General features: G+C 40.3%; 1 pseudogene across 2 annotated transcripts in view; it reads right to left on the reverse strand.

Annotated features, from left to right (window-relative positions):
- PDE4DIPP2 (PDE4DIP pseudogene 2) overlaps window positions 1–19,289 on the reverse strand; it is a 195,809-nt pseudogene that overhangs the window by 105,989 nt on the left and 70,531 nt on the right. For both annotated transcript variants that reach the window (NR_144517.1, NR_144516.1), the window contains 2 exons: window positions 3,455–3,578; window positions 3,090–3,265 (listed from right to left, as the gene is read on the reverse strand). The product of NR_144517.1 is annotated as a PDE4DIP pseudogene 2, transcript variant 2 (transcript). The remainder of the gene's footprint in view (window positions 1–3,089; window positions 3,266–3,454; window positions 3,579–19,289) is intronic.

Raw genomic sequence — 19,289 nt, forward strand, 5'->3', positions numbered from 1 at the left:
TATGTGCTAGGCATATTCTCTGTTTGTATATATTGGAACATGAACCTTCCAGGTCCTTGAAAATCTGCTGGGTACTAAATGAAATGTTTCCAGTTGTGATTCTTTTTTTTTTGAGATGGAGTCTTGCTCTGTCACCAGACTGGAGTGCAGTGGCGCAATCTTGGCTCACTGCAACCTCCACCTCCCTGGTTCAAGCGATTCTCCTGCCTCAGCCTCCTGAGTAGCTGGGACTACAGGCATGCGCCACCATGCCCAACCAATTTTTGTATTTTTAGTTGAGATGGGGTTTCACCATGTTGGCCAGGATGGTCTTAATCTCGTGATCCGCCTGCCTCGGCCTCCCAAAGTGCTAGGATTACAGGTGTGAGCCATGATTCCCAGGAGAAATAACTTTTAAAACTTAAAAACATTGGGCTGGGTATGGTGGCTCATGCCTGTAATCCCTGTAATCCCAGCACTTTGGGAGGCTGAGGCAGGTGGATCACCTGAGGTCAGGAGTTTGAGATCAGCCTGACCAACATAGTGAAACCCTGTCTCTACTAAAAATACAAAAATTAGCTGGGCGTGGTGGTGCACGCCTGTAATCCCAGCTACTCGGGAGGCTGAGGCAGGAAAATCGGTTGAACCTGGGAGGCAGAGGTTGCAGTGAGCCGAGATCTTGCCACTGTACTCCACCCTGGGCAACAGAGCGAGACTCTATCTCAAAACAAAAACAAAAACAGAAACAAAAAATTAAAAACATTATACAAATGTAAACTGCAATGATGACGAGAAGGAGGAATGTGGACTCCGTATGAAATTCCCTCGTGGTATCTGCACTAGAACATCTCTACTTTTCTTAAACCTCAAACTTTGCTCATCTCTTTGACCCTTAGTCTCTACAGAGGATCTGTTCTCCTACTCTCCAAAATTGTTCAAGGTCATCTGATGAGTGGCCTCAATTTATTTTCAGATGTGCATGTGCTTTACTTGGGGCTTTGTTTTGGTTTTTAGTTCAGTTTTTTTTTATTGGGGTTCAAATATGACACTGTCTTGGGGAACCTAGTAGGGAAAATCTGAAAGCAAATACAGTACCATACTGAGAATTGTACAATATGTATATATATATATATATATATATATATATATATATATATATATATATATATATATATATATATAAAAGAAACAATACAGAAACTTCATTCTGCTATCACAAAGCCTTCAAAGAAATGACGATTGATGCCTTAGTGAGGTTCACTAGAAGGGAAAAAGTTGGCAGATGTTTCCCACAGAAGGAAAAGCATGAGCAAAATTCTGGAGACTTGCCATAGCTTCTTATGCTTCTGGAGGCAGTATGGCTTCAGGGTTTGGATGTCAGCAATCCCTGAAACCATGTTTCACAAGTCTCCAGATGCCAATTTTTTCATTAATAAAGTATAATAATTCATATCTCATGGGGCTGTTAAACAAGAACATAAAGTACTCAGCTGTATGGTAAGAGCTCAACAAAGCTTAGCCATCATTATTATTACTAGCCTGGCATGAATGAAGTTAAGGAATGGTGGTGGGTGATGAGTGTGGGAGAAATCAGAGGTTACATCATAAAAGGCTTTGATGGCCACATTAGGAGTATGGATCTTATCTCCTAAAGGTATTGCAAAGTTCTTAAATGGCTCTGCCATGGTGCGATTAAATTTATGTCTTGGAAAGATCACATTGGTCATGGTATGCACATGTGGTTTTTGCCTATTCAGTTAAAAGCTCCTTAAAGCTTTTTATACCACCACAGTCTTATGCACCTAAGAGGCTAAATTATTTGCCAATTTGTTGTGGTTGAATTATCTATTTCAGAACTACTCTGAATTATTAGGTTGAGATTGAATGAGAGGAGCAGGACTGGAAGTGGAGAGGACATTTAGAAAGTTTCCTCGGTAATCCAGACAGTAGATGGTGGTGACCTCAATAATTGCCCAGTTACCTTCAGGACAAAGTCCAAGTTCCTTATAATGGTATACAAAGCTGGCACAATCAGACCCTTATTCTCAAAACAGCTTACCTCTCACTTGTCTTCTCACTTGCTCCAGTTATGTACAATTATTTAAAGTTCTTGAAATATTCCTTTCCCTGTGTCTTCCCTCCATAGTTTCTCCTTCTGCATAGAATATTTCCTTTCCCTATCCACTTTCTACCTATTTATTCTACCTCCTATTCATCCTTCAAAGCTCAGCTCAGATTTCGCTTCCTCTAGGAAACCTTCAATGGCATTATCTTAGTCTTTTTGGGCTGCTATAAAAAAACACCATAAACTGGGAGGCTTATAAACAACGGAAATGTATTTCTCACAGTTTTGGAGGCTGGGAAGTCCTAGATCAAGTCACTGACAGGTTCAATGTCTGGTGAAGGTTCACACTCTGGCTCATAACGGTGCATTCCCACTATATCCTCACATAGTAGAAGGGGCTAACTAGCTCTCTGGGGTCTCTTTTACAAGCGTATTAATCCCATTTATGAGGGCTCCATCTCCAATGTCTATGATTTAATCACCTCCTAATGGCTCCACCTCATAATACTTCTGGAGGCAGAAGTATTAACCTTAAGGGTTAAGATTTCAACATATAAACTGGTGGGGGAGGGAGGTGGGGATGGGACACAAACATTCAGACCACAGCAGACAACTTGCTCTTTTAATGTGGAATGGATGACCCTCCAATATTTCCCCAGAGCACCCCATGCTCTTCTATCAGGGAACTTATTAAAATCATGTAACATGTTTCTTGGTGACAAGAATTAGGTCTTTTGTTTCTGTAACACATGCCAGATACTTAGCCCGGTATCTGGCATGTGGCATGCCCAGTAAATGTTTGCTGAATAAGTGAATCCATGTCTCTTGCTTGCCGCTATTTGCCCACTGAATCCATGAAGTGAGTTTTCATAATGGATACCACTGAAAATTCAACCCTGAAAAGAATGTCTTCGGTTGTGGGACCATAAAGTCTTAGAAATAGTGAAGCTCCTACTGTCAGTCCTTGAAAGGGAACAGGACAGCTGCTGTATGCCTTGAGAATGGGCAAAAGACAAGCGACAAAAAGAGCACCGAAGGCACCTACTTGTCCCTCTGGGCCAGGGTCTCAGTGTATTGGTCGGGCTTGACCTGGTCTCCTGGTACATCTTCCCAGTTTTTGGTGACTCCCTTCAGTTTCTCTGAGAGCTCCAGGTTACACTCCTTCTCTGCTTCCACCAGAGCTGCCATCCGCGCAGCTTCATTCTTTGCTAGCCTGGATTCCTGGAAAAAGAACAAAAACTGAGAGGCTGCAAAATTTCTACCTAGATTAGGAGCCCTAAGACCCAGGAACATTGATGAATTTCAGAGGGAAAGTAGAGACGGAAAAGGTGAATGCCAGAAGGCAGAGCAGTAGGAAGAGGAGTGTTAATAAAAGAGAACCCCTACCTATGGACTTTGGGAACTCCTCACCTCCTGCAGAAGCTGGATCTTATTCTCCAAGAGCTCATAAACATGCTCCGTCTCCTGCTGTCGCTCCTCAAACTGGCGTCGGAGCTCAGCTTCATTCTGACTGTTGAGATTCTCCACATCACCCCTAAAACCACAGAGCATTAGCCAATCAGAGCCAGACATGCAGTTTAGCCAGTGGAACCATTAAAGTTGTTCTTTGATAAATCTCCAAACTGCTTGCTGCAGTGACTGAACTGGTTTATATTTCCACCAACAGCGTGTAAGCATTCCCATTTCTATGCAGCCTCACCGGCATCTGTTGTTTTTAGACGTTTTAATAGTAGCCATTCTGACTGGTGTGAGATGGTATCTCATTGTGGTTTTGATTTATATTTCTCTGATGATTAGTGATGTGGAGCAATTTTTCATATATTTGGTGGGCATTTGTATGTCTTCTTTTGAAAAGTGTTTGATCATGCCTTTTGCTCATTTTTTTAACGGGGTTATTTGTTTTTCATTGTTCAATTGTTAAATTCCTTATGGATTCTGGATATTAGACCCTTTTCAGATGCTAGTTGCAAATTTTTTTAGATTCTAGAGGTTGTCTGTTTACTCTGTTGATAGTTTCTTTTGCTGTGCAAAACTCTTTAGTTTAAATAAATCCGACTTGTCTCTTTTTGTTTTTGTTGCAATTGCTTTTGAGGATTTAGTCATAAATTCCTGAGGCCAATGTCCAGAATGGTGTTTCTTGGGTTTTCTTCTAGGATTCTTATAGTTTGAGGTCTTACATTTACATCTTTACTCCATCTTGAGTTAATTTTTATATGTGCTGAAAGGTAGGGGCCCAGTTTCATTCTTTTGCATATGGCTAGCCAGTTATCTATCCCACCACCATCGAATAGGGGAGTGCTTTCCCCACTGCTTATTTTTGTTGATTTTGTCGAAGATCAGATTGCTGTAGGTGTGTAGCTTTATTTTTGGGTTCTCTATTTGCTTCCATTGGTCTATGTGTCTTTTTTTTTTTCCAGCAACATGCTGTTTTGGCAACTGTAGCCTTGTAGTATAGTTTGAAGTTGGATAGTGTGATGCCTCTGGCTTTGATCTTGGTCATTTGATGAATGACATTGGTAGTTTGATAGGAATAGTGTTGAATCTGTAGATTGCCTTCGGCAATATGGCCATTTTAATGATATTGATTCTTCCAATCCATGAGCATGGAATGTTTTTCCATTTGTTTGTGTCATCTATGATTTCTTTAAGCAGTGTTTCATAGTTCTCCTTGTAGAGATCTTTCACCTCCTTGGTTAGATGTATTCCAAGGTATTTTTTTTTTTTAGCGGATATTGTAAATGGGATTGCATTCTTGATTTGGCTCTCAGCTTGAATGTTATTGGTGTGTAGAAATGCTACTGATTTTTTTTTTTTTTTGAGACGGAGTCTGGCTCTGTCGCCCAGGCTGGAGTGCAGTGGCATGATCTCGGCTCACTGCAAGCTCCGCCTCCCGGGTTCACGCCATTCTCCTGCCTCAGCCTCCCAAGTAGCTGGGACTACAGGCGACTGCCACCACACCCGGCTAATTTTTTTTTTCTATTTTTAGAAGAGACGGGGTTCACCGTGTTAGCCAGGATGGTCTCGATCTCCTGACCTCGTGATCCACCCACCTCGGCCTCCCAAAGTGCTGGGATTACAGGCGTGAGCCACCGTGCCTGGTAAAATGCTACTGATTTTTGTACATTAATTTTTGTATTCTGAAACTTTATTGAAGTCTGAAAATATTTTTAATAATTTTAGCAATACTTGTCATTTAACACTAAGCTTTTAAAAAACTGTAAATTATAAAAGTAACCATTTTAGCAATATAAATGTATATAAAGAAAAATATCAAGTCTTCTCCCTATCACGGACTGTGATCTCACTCTTCCTCAGTATACTATAAATATCACTCAGCAACTTTTCCCCCTTACTTTAATCAAGGAATTCCCACTAGGACAATAATATAGAGCTAACTCATTCTTCAATAACTGCATAATAGTCCACAGTGTAGTAATACCAAAATTTATTCAATCAATTGAGTCTTGCCTTGGTCCACAGCCTCTCACCTCATCTCTGCCCTCTTTGTGAACCTTGACATAATTAGGGATTTAGTTGGATCAGCAATCTAGTCAAGGAAGAATAAACTGTAGAGCTTCAGGGTTTCCCCTGAGCTACTTATCAATTTTCCCAACCTATTTATCATTACCCCTGGATCATGAACACTGCTTAAGTCTATTCGTTCTCTAAACCATTGCAGGACAGAGTATATATTAAAATAAATTTTTCCTATCTAATACAGGTTGTTCCTGAAAACGAAATTGCTAGAATAATACTTTTAATAGAATTATAGTAATAGAACAATACTTTTAAATGCCTGGGGATTCAATTATTTAAAGAAATTTGGTTGTAAACATTTTTAAAAACAATGCTTTTATCATAAAATTGGAATTTTATAAATTAGGTTTGCTTAAGGTGAGAGGGGACTCTGATGGTAAAGTTATACAGGGAACAATTAATTTTTATTGAGGTGAGGATGCAACAAGTAAGATTTGGGGAAACAGAAATAAGGAAATAAAAACATCCCAAGTGTGTCTGGTGCAGGTTAAGTGGCTTAGTGTGTGGTAAGGAGTATAGAAAATAGTTTGCAACTAGTTTGTGAAAATCCTGCTAAGACAACTAGATAGGCCGGCCACGGTGGCTCACACCTATAGTCCCAGCACTTTGGGAGGCCAAGGCAGGCAGATCACTTGAGGTCAGGCTTTCGAGACCAGCCTAACCAACATGGTGAAACCTCATCTCTGCTAAAAATACAAAAATTAGCTGGGCGTGGTGACATGCGCCTGTAATCCCAGCTACTTGGGAGGCTGAAACAGGAGAATCGCTTGAACCCAGGAGGTGGAGGTTGCAGTCAGCCAAGATCATGCTGCTGCACTCCAGCCTGGGTGACAGAGAGAGACTCTGTCTCAAAATAAAAAAAATTAAAAAAGTAAAAAACTGGATAATAATCAGTAGAAATCAAAGACTTATCAGGGAGCTTTAAGCAAAGTATTGGCATGATCGGGTCCATGTTGAAGAAGGAATTATGAAGAAGGTGGGTGGGTCAGGGGCAACTAACCAGAATAGGGAGGGGGACTGTCTAAGGACAAGAGGTACAGGGAGAAAGACTCAAAAGACATTTCAGAGACAGAAGCCACAGGCCTTGATGACTTGTGAGATTCAGATTAGACTGGAGGGAGGACCAAAGACAATGCTGAAATTTCCAGCATGTCAGTGGGAATGCATTCTATTAACTAAAATAGGGGCAGGTTTGTAGGGGAACCTAAGGAGGTTTCTGCAAAATGTTAATTGTGGGATTACTTTATTTCAGCTTAAATGTTAGCATGCAAAGATGGATTAGTCCCTTCCCTGATGAAGTCCATAATACAGTATTAGGCAAGAAGAATGTTATTTAGTAAAGAAGTCTTTAGATCAGAGGTTGACAGAGAGACTGAAGGTAAAGTAGCTAAAGTATGAAAAGTAGTATTGTGGGTACTAGAACAGTAGGGAGGATTTTACTTTACTATCGCCATATAATAACCACCAACACCTAGACTTCTAGAAGTCCAAGGCAACACACAATAGCAGCATATTTTCTACCATACTTGTGAAGGCATTTCATAACCCATGTTTCCATGCAGGGTGGTTGAAACACAAATACTAATTGGGAAAAGTAGAAACCTGGTTTAGATATTTGAGAGTTACTTAGAATTAAAGAATTTTAGAGCTGGAAGGCAGTTGGACTCAAGGCATTTTAGATCATATTACTAGTACTTTTTTAGTGACATACTGAGAAGAATGTTTATTCCCCTCATAAGTAGGTACCTTTTGACCAAGGTTAGAACATAGATTCAGATCCAGTGAGATGAAAATATCCTAATTTCTTCAAAAGAAGGGAATGATAGCCCTGTCTTTTCAGGATATCCTTTAAAGTTATTATTTTATGAACACTAAATAGCATTACCAGATTTAGCAAATAAAAATATAAGATATCTACTTCAATTTAAATTTCAGATAAACAACAAATAATTTGTTTCATTAGAAGTATATCCTTTGCAATATTTGAGACATAACTTAAACGCTAAAACATTGTTTGTTGTTTATCTGAAATTTAAATTGAATTGAGTACCCTGTATTTTATTCTGCAATACAAATACCAAAAGATTAACAAATGGAAACACGCATATTTCAATTTTGTATGAAGAACAAGTCTAAGATCTCTATATCAGTTCCATGGCCTGGCACTGCAAGAATAATTCATCTGTACCAATTGATGAATCAGTAAAATAGAAGATTTGCTAAACAGTTGCTATGTCCCCAGCTTTGTGGTCAATACTTAAAGGAATTCAAATGTCTTCATAAAAAATGGTCCCTAAGCTACTGGCCCTTCATAGAGGTGAAGGAATATGCATTCAATTATGTGGGAAATGCAAAGAGGGAGCAATTTCCTAATCTGTAATAGGCAGATAATTGTATTTTCCTCATTCATAAACCTACTGAGAGGATCGTGAGGCATAAATAAATCAATACATGTAAAGGACTTAGGACAGTGTTTCTAACACAGGTATAACTATAATTTTAATTATAATAATATTATTATCACCATCATCATCAAGAACAACAGCATTATCATTTGGAACAGCAGTTTGCTTTCCATGAGACCATAATGTTTCAAGTGGATTCAGTGTTCAGGATATGGTGCTGAGAAAGAGGACTCCTAAGTTTATTATTATTTCTGCCACCAATTGATTCACTTCTGTGACCTTGGGTAAAATTCTGCTAAGGCTTCTCCACCTGGAAAATGACAAAGACTGGGCAAAAAGCTATTTAAATCTCATATGAAAGAAAATGGAATCTATAATTATGAAGTGTTATTATCAATGATATTCCTATGCCTGGCTAATTTATATAAATCAGAAAAGTCTGGATATGCTAAACCACCTCAGATAAGCCAAAACTGCTTGAGCAGATTTTTTAAAAATCTCATATCTAAAAATACGTGAGGTCTCAAATGACTGGAGCTATATGGATGTCCTCTGCCTAGTTCTTAGTCTCATGATGTGACATAGGGAATCTCTATCAGGTATAAACTGATCAACAGAAAGTTCCCTGAAAAGTCCCTTACTATTAATACTATTTTTGCATGAGGAATCTTTGAATATTCAAATAAAAATAAACAAACAACAGGGAAAGTGAGAGGCACTATGAAACCAACCTAAAGCCAGAAAGAATTAGGTTCAAATCCTGGCTCTATCACTTTCCTGCTAGGTGACCTTGGGCAGGTTAACTAATCACTATGAGCCTCAGTTTTCTTATAAGTATAGTGTGGTTGCTTTGCTTTTTAATGAAGATAAGTATTCACGAGGGATTCTGTGAGGATTGAATGAGACAATGTGCATGATAAGCATAGAACAATGCCTTGCACACAGCTGTGCAACAACCTTGATTCACTTTCCCTTCATGTCCAGGCTAACTAGTGCCAGTCAGAGACCTCAGCCTTACCAGGAAAAATACTTAGATCTAAAAGGAAGAAAAACAGAGGACATAAATTAGTACGTTCTATCTGTTCTAAATCCTACTGAAGAAAATGAAGTCAATGCTTTGACCAATTTGCCCAAAGATTCACAGATTTGAAGACCTCAGCATTTCTGTGTTCTAGTTCTCTTAGTTTAAAGACAAGGAAATTGAAATCCAGAAGGGTTACCTCCAAGGTAAAAGCCGTAACTGAAACCAACACTCCACTCTTGCTTTAGCCTTTTATCAGAGAGACCAGCTTAGCAAACACTGCCCAGTTTTGTCTGATTTTGTAGAATGTGGTAAATTATAGAATTAGAGAATGTGCTGCATTTAGTCTTGAAAGAATATATGGAGGCAGTAAGTATAGTGGTCAAGAGCATAGGCTCTGAAGGCGAGAAGGGGGCTTGACAAGTCACCTGCCCTCTCTAAGAGCCTCATTCACCTCATCTATCAAGGAGATAACAATGATACCAATCTACAAAGGATGTTAGGGAGACTAAATGAAATTATGCACAAAAATCACATCGCACAGTGCCTGGCATGCAGTCAGTATTCAGAAAATGATAACTATTATTAACTATAAAAACAATAACAATTTACCCTCTCTAACTAGGATGGCTGAAATCCAGAAGGGTTTTCAAGGTAAAAGCAATAATCTTACATCAAAGTCTAACCTTCTTGCACCTTCTTTCTGTAGAAAAATCATCATATAGCTTATCACATTTATTCATTCTCCATTACTAAATATTCATGTGTAAATTGTTAAATTCTTTTATAGCATCAGTAGATTCCAAATTAACTGCATTTGCTTATTTTATCACCAAGTCTTCTTGGCTCTTTGTCAAGATATCTAAGGAAATTTATGTACTCAAGAAAGGGGAGATGGGAAGAAAGCACTTCTCTTTCTTCATGCCTCCAAAGGAGTGTTCGCCCATCTAACTCAAGAAAAAGTTTCAATGATGAAGCTGAAATTAAACTTCTATTAGGTATTTCTTCCTTCTCCCCAGGACTGGAGTACATGAATAGTCTCATATCTGGTTTCCCCAACCTCAGTCCCTCTACTACTTAAATTTTCCCTAAAGCATAGCTCTGGTTATTTCATTCCGTCTGTCCAAAAAGCATTTAATATGTGATGCAGGTCCAGCTAAAGAAGAAAAAGGAAAGAAAGAAAAAACCTTTTAACGATTTTTAACTGTACAGCGATTAAATTATACACAACTGGCCTGATAATAGAGTCTATTCAAAATTTGACCTCAATCTACCTATCCAGCTTTATCTTCCATTATTATCTGCTAGCCTAACTGGATTTCCCAAACATGCCCTATGCTTCTTGGTGCCACATCATTGTGTGCCCTTCAGCTTCATGGTTAAATGCTACGTCCCCTGTGAAGCCTTACTTTATCTCTCCAAATTAAAAGTAATTTCTCATGATGACATTATGAGCTTTCAAATATTCTTTTCATACTGCAACATTGGCATCCTGTGTAAATGCTTCATATTTCTACACCTGTCTTATTTACCCTTTTAAATTGCAAACTCCCTAAGGACAGAGGAAATGATGGTGTGGCAGAACTACCCAGGTGCGCTGGTTATTAAGATACTGCCTCTCAGCGTTGTCATGCTGGGGCAGGAATTTCAGGATAAGTAAACCTAGGTTCACATACCTTTCTGCCACTTCCTAACTGGGGGACCTTTTTTGTGTAAATTACTTCAACTTTTACAACCTAATTTCCTCATTTATAAAATAGGGGTTGCAAAAATTACCTCAAAGTTTGTAGTGAGGAATAAATGAATTTATGTAAAGTACCCAGCACAATGTCTGATACAAATAACCGCAGCTCGGGCGCGGTGGCTCACGCCTGTAATCCCAGCACTTCGGGAGGCCGAGGCGGGCGGATCACGAGGTCGGGAGATCGAGACCATCCTGCTTAACACGGTGAAACCCCGTCTCTACTAAAAATACAAAAAAAATTAGCCGAGCGTGGTGGCAGGTGCCTGTAGTTCCAGCTACTCGGAGGCTGAGGCAGGAGAATGGCGTGAACCCGGAGGCGGAGCTTGCAGTGAGCCGAGATCGCGCCACTGCACTCCAGCCTGGGCGACAGAGTAAGACTCCGTCTCAAAAACAACAACAACAAAAACAAATAACCGACAGCTGTGACTAATCTGAGGTCCTCGCAGTGTCTCTCACCTCTTGGTGCAGTAAAAGCATTGAAAGAGTGAACCAACAAGAGAACAAAGAAGGAATAGATGACAAGAGGCGGAAGTGGACTAACAATGATATGTTTGTTGAATGAGTGAGAAGGTAATAGATAATGCTGTGAGATTATGTGGAAAACTTTTTATCTGAAGTCTTTAAAAGACATTCTCACTTTTGGCTGGGCGCGGGGGCTCACACCTGTAATTCCAGCACTTTGGGAGGCTGAGGTGGGCGGATCACTTGAGGTCAGGAGTTCCAGACCAGCCTGGACAAACTGGTGAAACGCTGTCTCTACTAAAAATACAAAAATTAGCCAGGCGTGGTGGTGGGTGCCTGTAATCCCAGCTACTCGGGAGGCTAAGGCAGGATAATCGCTTGAACCCAGGAGGCAGAGGTTGCAGTGGGCCGAGATTGTGCCACTGTACTCCAGCCGGGGTGACAGAGCGAAACTCCATCTCGAAAAAATAAAAAATGTACTCCAGCTGGGGTGACAGAGAGAAACTCCACCTCAAAAAAATAAAAAATAAGGGCTGGGCACGGTGGCTCACGCCTGTAATCTCAGCACTTTAGGAGGCTGAGGCAGGCGGATCACAAGGTCAGGAAATGAGACCATCCTGGCTAACACGGTGAAACCCCGTCTCTACTAAAAATACAAAAAATTAGCCGGGTGTGGTGGCGGGCACCTGTAGTCCCAGCTACTCGGGAGGCTGAGGCAGGAGAACGGTGTGAACCCAGGAGTCGGAGCTTGCAATGCGCTGAGATCGCGCCACTGCACTCCAGCCCGGGTGACAGAGCGAGACTCCATCTCAAATAAGTAGATAAATAAAGACTTTCTCAGGTTTTTGTTTTGTTTTTGTTTTTTTGACAGTCTTGCTCTGTCGCCCAGGCTGGAGTACAGTGGCGCAATCTCGGCTCACTGCAAGCTCTGCCTCCTGGGTTCATGCCATTCTCCTGCCTCAGTCTCCGAGTAGCTGGGACTACAGGCGCCTGCCACCACGCCCGGATAATTTTTTTGTATTTTTTGTAGAGACAGGGTTTCACCGTGTTAGGCAGGATGGTCTCGATCTCCTGACCTCGTGATCCGCCCGCCTCGGCCTCCCAAAGTGTTGGGATTACAGGCGTGAGCCACCGCGCCTGGCTGACTTTTTCAGTTTTAAGCTAAGAATATTCTCTAATAGGTATATTATTGACCCATTGACAATAGAAGATTGAATACACTTTAGGATTCCAGCCTCCTCTTCTACTGCTCATGCTCTCCGTAAGAAGGGCTAAACATCCTACTCCTGTGCACTACATTGGAGCTCAGAAATACTGACTTAAAATCTCCAGATCTTAACACGGACTTTTAAAGGGAAGATTGAGTATGGACCCAGTATTAGATGGTATTATGGAATTATTTTTAAGCTTTTTGGGTACAATAATAGTATTGTGGTTATGTTTAAAAACAAAGCCTTCTCTGTGAGAGTTATATTCTGATATCTTCCCAAATAAAATTATATGATGTCAGAGAGTTGCTGTAAGGGGTGGAAGAGGACAAGATGGAGAACGAACAGTGCAGGGAGATCACTGAAAAGAACAGCAAAATGTTGGGAACCGTTAAAGCTGAGTGATGGGAACATGGCTCCCTGGTAAATGGGACACATACATCGGGAGGTACTATTTTCGTAGTCTTTGTTTATATTTGAAAATTTTCAAACTTACATAATGAGAAGTCAAAAGGGGCATTTTCATCCCAAAAAGGCAAATGTCCATATTCTTTTTTATTTTTTCATTTTCATTTCTGGAATTACCTAAACTCAGGTTATAGATAGCAATGAAAATTCGGCTCCCTGTGGCAGCTTCTTTCAGCCACCAGACTTACATAGACTCAGTGGTGCAGAGTCCGTTTCCCAATACTGAGGGATAAAGAAAATTAAACCTGCCTCTAGGCACGTCTCAAACTTGGGAGACTCAGAATACAACAGAGTATGGGATATAGGGAGGAAAGAAGAGATGCAGAAATAAATTAAAAACAAGATTTGTTTAAAGAGGAACTGCAACTTCTTTAATTGGGCAGATTGAACCAATAAAAGCACAGTTCTCTCCCTTCACCTCTTATCCTTTAGTCTCTTCAACTTTCACATTGCTTCACTCACTCTCTTCCTCTCCCTTTCACCTGCTCACCTTAGCCAACTTGAACTGTGCCCTCTGATCTGACACAGGATGACAATGACATCAGTCATTACCCAGCAGCCATTTTTTCTGATAACTAGAGTTCTGAGTGATGATAGTTCATGGTGAGATAATTTCCAAGACCTCGCTAGCCATTGGTGGTACTACTCTCCATTAAAGACAAGGGCATTTGCTGATTGAGAAATCAATCATACAAGTGTCCTTGGAGGCCACCAAGGCTTTGCCTGAACTGTTCTCAGCCTATGATGGTTTCTCTTTCTAAACCTGTTCTTCTAGGTTCAGCTCAAACATCCTCTCCTATAGAAACCTTTCCCCAACCTCCCAGTCAGAACTAATAATTTCTTTTCACTTCAACTGTACTTAGTTTATAATTTATATGACTATAATTTAATAACTGAGACTCTTCTGATAGTACAAACAGGTGCTATCATAATTACCTCTGGGCAACAGGCAAAAATCAAGATTGTCCTTAGTAAACCAGGATTCATACCAGGTCATCTGATGTTTACCTCTAGTATAGCACTCACCCGACTCTGCCTTACATTGCTTATTTAAAATGTCTGCCTCCCCTTCTAGGTTTTATAAAAGTTCTTGGCTCACAGTAACTCTTAGTATAAGTTTCTGAAATAAACACTTTGTTATCACTTTTGAATTGATGGCTTACATTTTTGTTTTGGCATTTAACTTCACATTTGTGCATTCATGTGTATGCATTTCAACTCATCTGCAAGCTTATATCCCTCAAAGTTTGCTGCTGGGCTAAGAGCAGCCACTCAAAAAATAATAATAGGCCAGGCGCAGTGGCTCACGCCTGTAATCCCAGCGCTTTGGGAAGCTGAGGCTGGTGGATCACTTGAGGTCAGGAGTTCAAGACCAGCCTGGCCAACATGATGAAACCTCATCTCTACTAAAAATACATAAATTAGCCGGGCGTGGTGGTGGGAGCCCAGCTACTCAGGGCTCCTCAGCTACTCAGCTATTCAGCTACTCAGGAGGCTGAGGCAGGAGAATTGCTTGAACCCAGGAGGCGGAGGTTTCGGTGAGCGAAGATTGCGCCACTGCACTCCAGCCTGGGCAAGAGTGAGATTCCGTCTCAAAAAAATAAATAAATAAATAAAAACAAAAAAGAAATAAATAGTTTTTAAAAAATCTTGACAGCATACCAGCATACATTCATTGATAAAGTCGACAAGAAAGTATTGGAGATTAAAGATTGCCAAAACCTAAGTGCTTTTCTTGGCATCATTGTCCTTGACCTCAAGGAGTTCTCAGTGTAATCAGAGTTGTGTTAAGGTCAGTGAGTGAAGGAAATGGGTACTGCACCTTTGCAAGATAGTAGGAAGCAAGCCAGAGAAGAGCTGGCATTCCACAAAAGAGTCTTTATTTGGGACAAAAATCAATATGACCAAATCCCATCCTAATCAATTCTGTAAACTAAAGGAATTTTTAAAAAATAATTTAGCAGGAGGAAGAGTTTCAAAATCTTGTAGGGAAACCCTGATGTAACTCCTGATTATTCACCCAAAGTGAAAAGTAACTATTAGTGAATGGGTTTTATTTTAAAACGTTTCATTTTTAGAATCTTATCTCTTCTAGGAAAAGTGTAGTACATACATCTTTTTTGTATGCAGAGTGAATTTCTTCTCCAGGCTTCTCTGACATCAATGGGGCAAGGTCATAACTCTATAAAACAGGGAGAAGCACTGAGCATTTTCAGAAAGGACTCTATCTGTCTTGACCAAAAGACAAAGGACTGGTCATTGCAGGATCCCCAGAAATACATTTTAGTAGCTTCCAAGTGAATTCTTTTGTAAATGGAGTTTCTCTCCATTCATAAGTTTTAGAGCAAAAATGAAGCCTTAGTGGGTCTAGATATCTGGCTAACATTAACTCCCTGTGTGACCTTAAACTGGTCGTCCCCAGAGCTTTATGCTTTTATACAATTAACTTGAATTACAGCCTCTCCTTCTTGCCCATAAGAATGATAATACCACCTGCATTACTCATCTTTTACGCTTATGTGAGACACCTAGCCACCTATCAGAAGGTATTCAAATGCAAAGCATTAAGTTTTTACACTTTAATGTGAAGTGGAAGAAAGTCTTGATTCAAATGCACAATCTCTACCTTTCTACTGATTCCACATTTGCTGTCTTTTACTAGTGCAGTTAAGTCCCAAATTAGAAACATAAGTCGCCCCAACATGTGACAAATGTCCTTTGTTGCCAGAGAAAGGACAGTGGGGCTGTGTCCTCAGCCTTAGCAACCAGAAGATTCTGCAAGACCAGGACATTCTCCTGCCAGAGCCTGCTTTAGTGTCCAGTGCTGTTCTCCAAAGAGATGGAAAAAACCAAGTGGAAAAGTTTCAGTTTATTCAATATAAGGCTCCACATTCAAATGGCAAAACTGCTCTGTTCAGGTCATATTTCAAGCCCAACCTATGTCAGTCCTTAGTAAAAGCTTCAAAGCAATACCAGTCCTTTCCCAGCCTGGTTTACCTTGATTAGACAAACACAGACACCCATGTCTGAGTAAGCACTGAGACCATGGATGAGTGCTAAGGAGATTAGGTGTTTGGATAGACACAGCTAGGGTGTGTGTATATGTGTGTGTGTGTGTGTGTGTGTGTGTGTGTGTGTGTGTGTAGAGAGAGAGAGAGAGACAGAGGCAAAGACAGAGACAGTGCTCATTGGGCAGAGGACAGAGTAGCTGAGATAGTATCATTTGTTTATTCATTTGCTTTTTCATAAAATACTTAGTAAGCACCTACTTGGTATGTGCCGACACTTTAATAGGTACTAGAAAGAGCAAGACAGACAGAATCACAGTCTTCAGAGAATTTACAGCCTATGGGGTTAATTAAACCAATGATTATCATAGCATGTAACAAACAAAAGAGAACCCAGAATCAGCTGTATGGAAATGCACACAGGTGGCAGATATAAATAGCAGCAGATACACGAATCAGTGCGGGTCCATCATATAACTCCTAGCTTTAGTCTCTAAACTTAGGCTCCCACTCAACTCAACTCCTACTCTAACTCAAGATATACCATACCTTGGTTTGCTCTTTCTCTAAGCATCGCTGTTCTAGTCTTCTAAGGAGCAGGAATATAAATCTACATCTATGTGAAACTACAGCACCCCCAAGGGAAAACAAAGAATCCAGTGCTATTCTAGTAATTTTAGGGCAGTAGTACAGTACAATGCAAAGTATAGGCTTTTGAACTAAATTGGCCTGGGTTCAAATATGAGCCCTCTTACATTCTATTAGGTTGAACCATATAAAAATGGAGATATTCAATCATTTTTTTACAGTTTCACGTAGTTCATCTCTGTATTCTAGAGGTAAATCATTTTAACCTAAGTTTCATTTCCTTCTGTTGTTAGTTTTTTTAATGGTGCTAATACCCCTACCTTTCAGGGTTGTAAATGAAAAGATGTTAAAAAAAAAAAATACCTGACATATAGTGGGTGTTCAATAAATGTTAGTTTTCCCAAAGACAGTCAGATGCATGAATCATAATAAGAGGTATTTCTGGTCAACACTAAGCTTAAGAATCCAAGAAAAGATATATCAAAATGAGACATCTTTGGGTTTGGATAGTGGGGGAGGCTGTATATACACAGGTATGTATGTAGGGGCAGGGAGTAAATGGGAAATCTCTGGCTCTTCTGCTTAACTTTGCCGTGAGCTTAAAACTGCTCTAAAAAACAAAATCTGACCAGGCCTGGTGGCTCACACTTGTAATCCTAGCACTTTGGGGGGCTGAAGCAGAAGGATCCCTCGAGCCCAGGAGTTTGAGACCAGCCCGGGCAACATAGAAAGACCCTATCTCATTTTAAAAAACTAAAAAATAAAAAATAAAATAAAAAACAAAATCCATTTTTTTAAACAAAAAGAAAAATGAGGGAAAATGAGGTGTTCTGCTTGTTTTATTTAGACTCTGAGCACAGAGTTCCCAAGATACATTCTGCTGTGGTATTCACACTGATCTCCAATTAAACCCTTCTCAGTGTGTCATGAGCTATTCATTCCCTATAGTCACTCTGTTAGAATCTTGGTCGTGTCCCAGAGGCCTCTGTTGATGTGGCCCAACTGAGCTGGCAAGTGAGAAAACATACACATAAATACCCATGATCTCAGCGATTCTCTCCCCTCCCCAGGACATTCCTTAGCAGAACCAATCTCTCTCACTCGGCTGGAGCCTCTCTGTTCACAGATAGGCCTGGCTGGGCTTAATTTAGCAAAGGGCAGGCCCCCTGCAAAAGCCAGGGGTAAGTCTGGAGCCCCTGTAATGCCCCAGGACACCTTGTGTGGAGACAGGAGCCCAGCCCTGCCGAAGGAGCTAAAGGGGATGTTCAGAATGTTTGTTTTTCTCAGCTATTTAGGAACTGGAGCTCACGGGAACCACCCTTTACTTCCTTAACTTCTCACATAAATGTTTTCTTTGGGCAGCAGCTATAGAACTGGAAACTAAGTAAAACCTTACTTTGGAATATAAAAACTATATTAATTTTTCTACAGATAAATTGTTGCATAGGAAACTTGCTAAATATTTTTAAATTATCTGTAACACCTAACATAATCTGACATTTATCCCCAAATTCAGCTTTCAATTCTGGATTGAAACATACTTTGATCTGTTCTCTAAAAAGGACAAAGCCAGTCACTGGTGTTTTGCAAAGTCTGGGACCATTTTTCCTACACAGAATCTCACACAATAAACAGACAAGATATTAGAAACTAAGTTCTAATATCTAGCAGTCACTCCTTCCCTGGAAGCCTGGCTGTGTCCTGAAGCCAGGTCCTATGATCAGGCAACTCTTCTGAAGCTCTGCTTCCACTAGGGACAGCACTTACCCTGTAGACTCTACAGATGTACCATCCAGGATGGCAGGCATGAGCCACATGTGGCTACTGAACCCTTGAGATGTGACTAGTCCAAATCGAAATGTGCTGTAAGGATTTCAGACTTAGCACGCACAGGAGTTCAAAGACTAACTACAACAAAAGAATGTGACATCTCATTAATAATTGTAAAATGTTGATTTCATGTTGAAATGATAATGTTTTAAATGTATTATTAACATTAATTTCACATATTTCTTTTTACTTTTTTTAATGTGGCCATGAGAAAAATTTAAATTACATGTATGGCTTATATTTACGTTGGACAGCACTGTTCTATAAGATGTTAGGAAAAAGATGTATTTGCTTTAAGTACTTTGCATTAAGACATAGTCTGACCTGAATCACAGTTAATCCTGTGGTCTCATAGCATCTTGGAGAGTTTTGTGGGGTGCTGGCATCCATCAACCAACAAAATACCAAAATGACTCTAGGTAATTATAAGTGAAGCAAAACCACTGGGCAGGGATGATAACAGGCACTGTACTTAACAGGAGTCAGCGTATCACAATGCTGCTCGGACTATGTTCAGACACTAAACTCTAAGTGTCATGAGGGCAGGGACTCCCTCTATCTTCTCACCATTGTAGCATTGCTAGCACAATGCCCACACACAGAAGATAATGATATATTTATCAAACAAATGGATGCTGTTCAAAATAAAAATATAGCTCTCTTGAAAAACAATTCTCCCTGCAAGAACTTCCTCTTCTTACTGTTTCTTTTCTCAATTTTTTTGCTTCCTACTTCCACCAACCCCTCTTGCAGAGACTGCTCCATTCCAGTAAAAGGTGAAGGTTCAACTGGAGACCTCCAAAGTCGGCTGGGCCTAGGGTTTGGGTAGGCAATTGCTGGAAGAGCACAGAGAGGGAAAGATTTCAGGCAGTGGTGATAAGAAAAGGCCCACCTGGGTCAGGTGTGGTGGCTCACGCCTGTAATCCCAGCACTTTGGGAGGCCGAGGTGGGCGGATCATGAGGTCAGGAGTTCG

Source organism: Homo sapiens, chromosome 1 (genome assembly GCF_000001405.40).
Source record: "Homo sapiens chromosome 1, GRCh38.p14 Primary Assembly".
NCBI classification, from domain to species: domain Eukaryota; kingdom Metazoa; phylum Chordata; class Mammalia; order Primates; family Hominidae; genus Homo; species Homo sapiens.